The sequence below is a fragment of the Homo sapiens genome, chromosome 6 (assembly GCF_000001405.40).
Source record: "Homo sapiens chromosome 6, GRCh38.p14 Primary Assembly".
In the NCBI taxonomy this organism is placed as follows: Eukaryota; Metazoa; Chordata; class Mammalia; order Primates; family Hominidae; genus Homo; species Homo sapiens.
Genome location: NC_000006.12, coordinates 6665462 through 6675589, shown reverse-complemented (window position 1 = coordinate 6675589; position 10128 = coordinate 6665462). Strand labels below are relative to the sequence as shown.

The 10128-nt window shown below is 42.8% G+C and overlaps 1 annotated feature.

Moving 5' to 3' along the window:
* Window positions 799–1298: an enhancer, noted in NCBI's record as "H3K4me1 hESC enhancer chr6:6674525-6675024 (GRCh37/hg19 assembly coordinates)". NCBI's record gives its function as "activates a minimal SCP1, AML or CMV promoter by ChIP-STARR-seq in primed H9 embryonic stem cells {active_cell/tissue: H9 hESC(primed)}" and the evidence as "EXISTENCE:reporter gene assay evidence [ECO:0000049][PMID:30033119]".

The following is a 10128-nucleotide window of genomic DNA, read 5'->3' as shown; positions in this document are numbered from 1 at the left end:
GCTATCACTTTCTTGCCTTCTTTTCTTTCTTGCTGGCTGGAATGTGATGATATCACTAGATCTGAAACAGCCATTTTGGACTAAAAGGCAGAAGCCACAGGTGAGGATGATGGAGTTACAAAATAAAAGAAGTCCAAGTCCTAGTGAACTGGGCCACCATGAACTTCCCAGGTTTACTGGAGAGAGAAATAAACCTCTAACTTGTGTATGTCTCTGCTTGATTTTCAGTTACTTATAACAGAACTTTATCCAAACTGAAAAAAATTTTACATTTTATATGTAAAGTCCGAAGTTTAACAGAGTTAGTATTTCCCAGACGATAAATCATGGGAAAAATAAAAGTTTAATTACCTAGGACTATTACTGGGAGATGATATTTGCTGCATATAGTGAAGGTGCTAGCAAATCTCCCCTTTTTGTTGCTAAGAGGGTGTTCCACTTAGTTAGCCAGGGCAACAGAAGGAAACCATTGATGTTCCTCACGGAGAAGTCTTTGAAAACAGCACATGAGACAGCAGCTAAGAGCGCCCCCCACCGCATTCCAGGCTAATAGCATTGGCTCCAGAGGCTAACAGGGTTTATTGAGTGAAGGGACCAAGGGGGAAACCAGCTTGATTTTAATTGTCTGTCTAGTCTGTTGGAAACTAACTTTCTCTAAATGAATGCTTTTTGAAGTTTTCAAAGCTCGAGAACATAATAAATATTACCCTTTGCTGGGTTTCCTCTTTGGCTATGGCACAGGGGGGTATTTTCTGGAAGGATATGGTTATCCTCTCTGATGACTTTCAAAATCTGAATTTAGGCTGGGCATGGTGGCTCACACCTGTAATTCCAACACTTTGGGAGGCCGAGGCAGGCGAATCACCTGAGGTCAGGAGCTTCAGATCAGCCTGGCCAACATGGTGAAACCCCATCTCTACTAAAAATACAAAAATTAGCCAGGCATGGTGGTGGGCACGTATAATCTCAGCTACTCCCGAGGCTGAGGCAGGAGAATCACCTGAACCTGGGAGGTGGAGGATGCGGTGAGCCGAGATCACGCCACTGCACTGAAGCCTGGGAGACAGAGCGAGACTCCTTCTCAACACACACACACACACACACACACACACACGAATTTAGCCTTCGAAACATTTCAGCTATTTTATCCATAACATTTTTTTTTTTTGAGACGGAGTCTTGCTCAGTTGCCCAGGCTGGAGTGCAGAGGCACGATCTCGGCTCACTGCCAGCTCCGCATCCCGGGTTCACGCCATTCTCCTGCCTCAGTCTCCCGAGTAGCTGGGACTATGGCGTCCGCTACCACGCCCGGCTAATTTTTTTTTGTATTTTTAGTAGAGGCGGGGTTTCACCTTGTCAGCCAGGATGGTCTGATCTCCTGACCTCGTGATCCGCCCGCCTTGGCCTCCCAAAGTGCTGGGATTACAGGCGTGAGCCACCACGCCCGGCCTATCCGTCACATTTTTAGTCCTCGCATGTATTCCCAATGTGTGGAAATTTCGTAAGTTTAGTAACTGTTCTGTAGGTTAGGAAGCAGCGTCACAGGAGTGATAAATGCCTGAGCCTGGAAACCCACCAGTCTGCTAGCTTTGGCTCTGCCACTCAACAGTTTGTATCAGCTTGGGAAAGTGCATAATCTGTGAGGCTATTTCTTTGTTTACAATATGGGATTAATAACAGTCCCTAGCCTATGAGATTGCTGTAAGAAGTAAGTTTTGGAATGCATAGAAAGTCTCCAGGGCTCAGGAGCGTGCTGGGTATGTTGTAAGTACACAGTAAGTATTAGCTATTATTATTTTTATTACTACTAATACCTAATTTCTGGTCACGTGCTATTCAATACAATATCCACTGGCTCCTAGTGGCCGTTACAAACTTGAAATGAAGCCAGTCCAAATTGAGATGGGCTGTAAGGATTAAATACAGACTGGATTTTGAAGTCTTAGAGAAAAACAAGAATGTAAAATGTCTTACTAATAATTTTAAAAATTATTTATTACATATTGAAATGATAACATTTTAGATAATTGAAATAAAATGTACTATTACAATTAATTTCACCTTTTTCTTTTTTTTTAAATGTGACTACTAGAAAATTAAAAATTTCCTCTGTGGCTTGCACATCAGGTATTTTTGGGATAAGGTCTAGACAGACAGATGGGGCAGGGGTGGTAAAGTGAACTAGGAAATCATGGTTTACTTTATCAGTATCTGGTGGTTATTAGGGGGTCAGAAGAAGGAGGCAGAAGTTTGGGGGAGGAAATCGATTTCCCAAGGGTATTGTGGATCCTGATATAATTGAACTCCACAGATGCTGAGTGAGGTCGGGGGTGGTCATGTGTGGGAGCAGCACTCAGTCACACGAGTCTGAAGAAAGGATGAAAATCTGGTGGTTCACACAATGGAAGTTTAGAGCAGTACAAGTGTCATTAACCTGGATCCAAGGTGGAGTTTAAGATCCAGCATGGAGCATATTGTTGATGAATAACCAATGGCAGGTTGTTTTCATGGACCTGAGAAAGGAGGCAGAAGTAGAGGGGTAGAAAATCCCCTTCCAGAGGCACTGCTGGTACCCAAATTCAATTCCACAGACCTTGATTGAGAACCTACTATGTTCCAGAACCTCTGTTAGAAACTGGTGAAGACCAGTACCATGCTGTTTTGGTTACTGTAGCCTTGCAATATAGTTTGAAGTCAGGTAGCGTGATGCCTCCAGCTTTGTTCTTTTGGCTTAGGATTGACTTGGCAATGCGGGCTCTTCTTTGGTTCCATATGAACCTTAAAGCAGTTTTTTCCAATTCTGTGAAGAAAGTCTTTGGTAGCTTGATGGGGATGGCATTGAATCTATAAATTGCCTTGGGCAGTATGGCCATTTTCATGATATTGATTCTTCCAACCCATGAGCATGGAATGTTCTTCCATTTGCTTGTATCCTCTTTTATTTCCTTGAGCAGTGGTTTGTAGTTCTCCTTGAAGAGGTCCTTCACATCCCTTGTAAGTTGGATTTCTAGGTATTTTATTCTCTTTGAAGCAATTGTGAATGGGAATTCACTCATGATTTGGCTCTCTGTTTGTCTTATTGGTGTATAAGAATGCTTGTGATTTTTGCACATTGATTTTGTATCCTGAGACTTTGCTGAAGTTGCTTATCAGCTTAAGGAGCTTTTGGGCTGAGACGATGGGGTTTTCTAGATATACAATCATGTCATCTACAAACAGGGATCATTTGACTCTTTTCCTAATTGGATACCCTTTATTTCCTTCTCCTGCCTGATTGCCCTGGCCAGAACTTCCAACACTATGTTGAATAGGAGTGGTGAGAGAGGGCATCCCTGTCTTGTGCCAATTTTCAAAGGGAATGCTTCCAGTTTTTCCCCATTCAGTATGATATTGGCTGTGGGTTTGTCATAGATAGCTCTTATTATTTTGAGATACGTCCCATCAATACCTAATTTATTGAGAGTTTTTAGCATGAAGGGTTGTTGAATTTTGTCAAAGGCCTTTTCTGCATCTATTGAGATAATCATGTGGTTTTTGTCGTTGGTTCTGTTTATATGCTGGATTATGTTTATTGATTTGCATATGTTGAACCAGCCTTGCATCCCAGGGATGAAGCCCACTTGATCATGGTGGATAAGCTTTTTGATGTGCTGCTGGATTCGGTTTGCCAGTATTTTATTGAGGCTTTTTGCATCGATGTTCATCAGGGATATTGGTCTAAAATTCTCTTTTTCTGTTGTGTCTCTGCCAGGCTTTGGTATCAGGATGATGCTGGCCTCAGAAAATAAGTTAGGGAGGAGTCCCTCTTTTTCTATTGATTGAAATAGTCAGAAGGAATTATACCAGCTCTTCTTTGTACCTCTGGTAGAATTCGGCTGTGAATCCATCTGGTCCTGGACTTTTTTTTTGTTGGTAGGCTATTAATTATTGTCTCAATTTCAGAGCCTGTTACTGGTCTATTCAGAGATTCAACTTCTTCTTGGTTTAGTCTTGGGAGGGTGTATCTGTCAGGAATCCATCCATTTCTTCTGGATTTTCTAGTTTATTTGCGTAGAGGTGTTTATAATATTCTCTGATGGTAGTTTGTATTTCTGTGGGATCAGTGGTGATATCCCCTTTATCATTTTCTATTGTGTCTATTTGATACTTCTCTCTTTTCTTCTTTATTAGTCTTGCTAGTGATCTATCAATTTTGTTGATCTTTTCAAAAAACCAGCTCCTGGATTCATTGATTTTTTGAAGGGTTTTTTTTGTGTCTTTATGTCCTTCAGTTTTGCTCTGATCTTAGTTATTTCTTGCCTTCTGCTAGCTTTTGAATGTGTTTGCTCTTGCTTCTCTAGTTCTTTTAATTGTGATGTTAGGGTGTCGATTTTAGATCTTTCCTTCTTTCTCTTGTGGGCATTTAGTGCTATAAATTTCCCTCTACACACTGCTTTAAATGTGTCCTGGATATTCTGGTATGTTGTGTCTTTGTTCTCATTGGTTTCAAAGAACATCTTTATTTCTGTCTTCATTTCGTTATTTAGCCAGTAGTCATTCAGGAGCAGGTTGTTCAGTTTCCACATAGTTGTGTGGTTTTGAGTGAGTTTCTTAATCCTGAGTTCTAATTTGATTGCACTGTGGTCTGAGAGACAGTTTGTTGTGATTTCTGTTCTTTTACATTTGCTGAGGAGTGCTTTACTTCCAATTATGTGGTCAGTTTTAGAATAAGTATGATGTGGTGCTGAGAAGAATGTATTTTCTTTTGATTTGGGGTGGCAAGTTCTGTAGATGTCTATTAGGTCTGCTTGGTGCAAAGCTGAGTTCAAGTCCTGGATAACTTTGTCAACCTTCTGTCTCATTGATCTGTCTAATATTGACAGTGGGGTGTTAAAGTCTCCCATTATTATTGTGTGGGAGTCTAAGTCTCTTTGTAAGTCTCTAAGGACTTGCTTTATGAATCTGGGTGCTCCTGTATTGGGTGCATGTATATTTAGGATAGTTAGCTCTTCTTGTTGAATTGATCCCTTTACCATTATGTAATGGCCTTCTTTGTCTCTTTTGATCTTTGTTGGTTCAAAGTCTGTTTTCTCAGAGACTAGAATTGCAACCCCTGCTTTATTTTTGCTTTCCATTTGCTTGGTAGATCTTCCTCCACCCCTTTATTTATCAAGTGCATCTCTCTGCACGTGAGATGGGTCTCCTGAATACAGCACACTGATGGGTCTTGACGCTATCCAATTTGCCAGTCTGTGTCTTTTAATTGGGGTGTTTAGCCCATTTACATTTAAGGTTAATATTGTTATGTGTGAATTTGATCCTGTCATTATGATGTTAGCTGGTTATTTTGCCCGTTAATTGATGCAATTTCTTCATAGCATTGATGGTCTTTACAATTTGGCATGTTTTTGCAGTGGCTGGTACCAGTTGTTCTTTTCCATGTTTACTGCTTCCTTCAGAAGCTCTTCTAAGGCAGGCCTGGTGGCGACAAAATCTCTCAGCATTTGCTTGTCTGTAAAGGATTTTATTTCTCCTTCACTTATGAAGCTTAGTTTGGTGGATATGAAATTCTGGGTTGAAAATTCTTTTCTTTAAGAATATTGAATATTGGCCCCCACTCTTTTCTGGCTTGTAGGGTTTCTGCCAAGAGATCCACTGTTAGTCTGATGGGCTTCCCTTTTGGGTAACCCGACCTTTCTCTCTGGCTGCCCTTAACACTTTTTCCTTCATTTTAACCTTGGTGAATCTGACAATTATGTGTCTTGGGGTTGCTCTTCTCGAGGAGTATCTTTGTGGTGTTCTCTGTATTTCCTGAATTTGAATGTTGGCCTGTCTTGCTAGATTGGGGAAGTTCTCCTGGATAATATCCTGAAGAGTGTTTTCCAACTTGGTTCCATTCTCCCTGTCACTTTCAGGTACACCAATCAAACATAGATTTGGCCTTTTCACATAGTTTCATATTTCTTGGGGGTTTTCTTTGTTTCTTTTTATTCTTTTTCTCTAAACTTGTCTTCTCACTTTATTTCATTAATTTGATCTTCAATCACTGATATCCTTACTTCCACTTGATCGAATCAGCTATTGAGGCTTGTGCATGCATCACAAAGTTCTCATGCCATGGTTTTCAGCTCCATCAGGTCATTTAAGGTCTTCTCTACACTGTTTATTCTAGTTAGCCATTCATCTAATCTTTTTTCAAGGTTTTTAGGTTCCTTGTGATGGGTTAGAACATGCTCCTTTAGCTCGGAGAAGTTTGTTATTACCGACCTTCTGAAGCCTACTTCTGTCAACTTGTCAAAGTCATTCTCTGTCCAACTTTGTTCCATTGCTGGTGAGGAGCTGCAATCCTTTGGAGGAGAAGAGGTGCTCTGGTTTTCAGAATTTTCAGCTTTTCTTCTCTGGTTTCTCCCCATCTTTGTGGTTTTATCTACTTTTGTTCTTTGATGTTAGCAACCTACAAATGGGGTTTTGGTGTGAATGTCCTTTTTGTTGATGTTGATACTATTCCTTTCTGTTTGTTAGTTTTCCTTCTAACAGTCAGGTCCCTCAGCTGCAGGTCTGTTGAAGTTTGCTGGAGGTCAACTCCAGACCCTGTTTGCCTGGGTATCACAAGTGGAGGCTGCAGAACAGCAAATATTGCAGAACAGCAAATATCACTGCCTGATCCTTCCCCTGGAAGCTTTGTTCCAGATGGGACAGCCACCTGTATGAGGTGTCTGTAGGCCCCTACTGGGAGGTGTCTCCCAGTTAGGCTACACATGGGTCAGGGACCAACTTGAGGAGGCAGTCTGTCCGTTCTCAGAGCTCAAACACTGTACCGGGAGAACCACTGCTCTCTTCAGAGCTGTCAGACAGGGGTGTTTAAGTCTGAAGAAGTTTCTGCTGCCTTTTGTTCAGCTATGCCCTGCCCACAAAGGTGGAGTCTATAGAGACCATAGGCCTTGCTGAGCTGCAGTGGGCTCTACCCAGTTTGAGCTTCCCCGCCACTTTGTTTACCTACTCAAGCCTCAGCAATGGCAGACACCCCCGTCCCGCACTCCCTGCCAGGCTGCAGCCTTGCAGGTGGATCTCAGACCGCTGCGCTAGCAGTGAGCAAGTCTCCATGGGCATGGGACCTGCCGAGCCAGGCACGGAGAGAATCTCCTTGTCTGCCAGTTGCTAAGACCATGGGAAAAGTGCAGTATTGGGGCAGAAGTGTCCCGTTTTTCCAGGTACAGTCTATCACGGTTTCCCTTGGCTAGGAAAGGGAAATCCCTTGACCCCTTGAGCTTCCCAGGTGAGGTGATCCCCGGCCCTGCTTTGGCTCGCCCTTTGTGGGCTGCACCCACTGTCCAACCGGTCCCAGTAAGATGAACCAGGTACCTCATTTGGAAATGCAGAAATCACCCATCTTCTCTGTCGATCATGCTGGGAGCTCCAGATCGGAGCTGTTCCTATTCGGCCATCTTGGGATGGACCCCTCAAATAGCTAGCATCTTGAGATGGACATAGTGGGAATATTTATACCATGGTAACTGGAAAACACTATAAATTTCTAGAAAACCTGTTGTCATACTACCAGCACACCACTGTGACAGATACAGCAAGGAGAACACAGGAATGGATAGAAGGGTTGGGCATGCTTTCTCTGTTTACCATTTAGAACACTGGGGAAGAGGCTATGCAGGGACTTAGGCCAGTATGCAGGGACTTAGGGGTGATCCAACATGGTGGTGTGAGACAGTTGAATACAGAACGAGTCTACTTAACACTCTCAACCCTATGTTGATTCTTATATGGCATAAATGCTGAGTGGAAAGTCAGTGAGTCTACCATAGGGCCGACTGTGGTAAGATGAGGGGCTCAGTCATAGAGTCTGGGCCACGGTACTCAGCCTCAGTGGTCTATTGACCAGTGGGAGCTGAGAGAAGACAAAGTCAATGGAAAGCCCATTGGGAAAGAATGGGCACAGGTTTGTGATGCACATACATCATCAGCAGACTGGCAGATTCAACAGACAAGATCAAGTCAACTCTACTATACTGCCAGTCTACTATACTACCATACTGCCAAGACAAGCAAGCAAGGAGCTGCGGATAGTCCTCTGTCCCCCCGCTCTTTCATCCCACCATCATGTGGTCATGAGAGGCTTCCTCCCCCATGTACCAGACACCACCTTGGAAGGAATGGGCATGGCAAAAGGGCATGGAGATAGCATTCCCCCAAAAATGAGTACCAAAGAGACTATTTAAATTATTGCATCTAAGGTTGAAAACCAGTCTCTATATTAACTATCTTTCCTTTGCCCGTGATAGGTGGGAGCTCAGGAGGAAGACCAAGCCAGTAACAGACCAAACCTAAAGAGAATACATTTTCTTCTTCCTGACTGGTAGTATAAATATGCAACCTAGTGACACATGTAAAGTAAACGAAGAGTATAACTTGTGCTTACTCAAATGTATAATTCATGAGGTTATTTTTTGAATACTCAATCATCCTTTGCAAACTGAAGTTTGGCTTCACTTTTATTTTTCAGATGGAAAAGAGGCTGAGATTTTTGTATTTGAAGAATTTAAAGACAAAATGACTCAATTTTGGGTGTCCTTCCAGGAGGTGGGGCTTTCCTCTCAGGCTAATAAGTCCACAAACTAAATTTTTATCATTTCTCCCTAGAATAACCAGAATCAGAGGAAGTCGGTCATTTAAGTCAAATTCAGGACAGGCCAATTGATAAAAGGAGAATACTGAGTTCATACAGTTTCTGTGAAATATGTAACTGACAGTGGACTGGGATGTTCAAAGTTACAGGATGTTAGGGCCAAAGAGATACTTTGAGATAATTTAGTCCAAGAAACAGACCCAGAGAGGTAAAAACACATACTCAGAGTTAGGCAGCTTATCGATGACAGGACTGGAACTCCAACCCTGAACCCACTCACAATTTTATAGAAAGACTCCAGGATTTGACACTGCACCTGCCCTCCTCCTTGGCAGGAGTTCATGTGAGAAACCAAGTCACAACTGGAAGGCTGCTTAGTGATCCCAGAATTAAAACAAGAACCTTAATTCCACTTGGTGAACAGACGGGAATTCTCCTGTGGGCCCATCTTTCAGATACACAAATTCTGGCTCCTCTGATTCTCGTTTCCTAAACTCGGTGAAGAAAGACCACTGGGTCTGTACATGGATCATAAAATGCTTAATTAAGGTATGCTATTTTTGGGTTAAATGCTGAGCCCAACACACATTCTTATTGGAATATAAGTACGTCCCAGGTCATGTGATAGTTCCCATTGCCGAGTATTTATTTGCTGTAGATGTGTGATGTGACGTGTTGTGCTGAGCGCTTTGCATAGTCTATCTCTTTATCCACAGTCTTGCAAGCCATCTCTGAAGACCACCTTCTAACATGGTCTTTTCCCCTTGTCTGTGACCCTTTGTCTGTGCAGGGCCATATAGCTGCTTAGACATCCCACCTCTTCTCTTTCAGCCCGCAGGATCCCCATACATGTGATTTTGGAGAGCTAAGAGGGCCCTGGGAGCACATGGGACTGAGCCTGGCTCAGCCAAGTTCCTATTTACCCTCTTAACGTGGATTTCAGCCTCTGTGTTGGCATGAGAGTCCGTCTGGTAAGCTGTTTTCTACAAGGAGAGGGCAGAATAGAGGCACTGACTAAAAATTGGAAACGTTTAAGAGAAATCTAATCTTCCAGGGATACAAACATAATGCTGTGTGTAAGCAATCCGGATTTATTGTCTAAACCTGAAGGCTTGTAGCCCTGCGGGCCCCTTCATAAGAGGAGATGGCAGGCAAATCACCTTGTGCTGCCCAGGAACTGTGAGGGAGGTAGATTAATCGTGTAGAAAAGCTACTGCGGCAGATGCTCACGGGGCAGCTGAGCTGTCAAAGAGCTACTGGAAAACTGACTGAAAAGGGAGGCTTACAGGGGAAAATGACAAAGAAAAAAAGACAGAAAACCTGGCTTGGATCCCAAGACAGCGGAAGGCGCATTCAGACAGGCTGGCCTTTTGACCTTCCTTGCCTAGTCTGACCATTAGGAGCAGAAGATGTGATTAAAGTACCTAACAATTTACTAGAAGACTTCACACTTCCTTCACCAAAGCTTCTCTTTTCAGAATGTCTGTTTTCATTTCTTAATCAATGGTTGA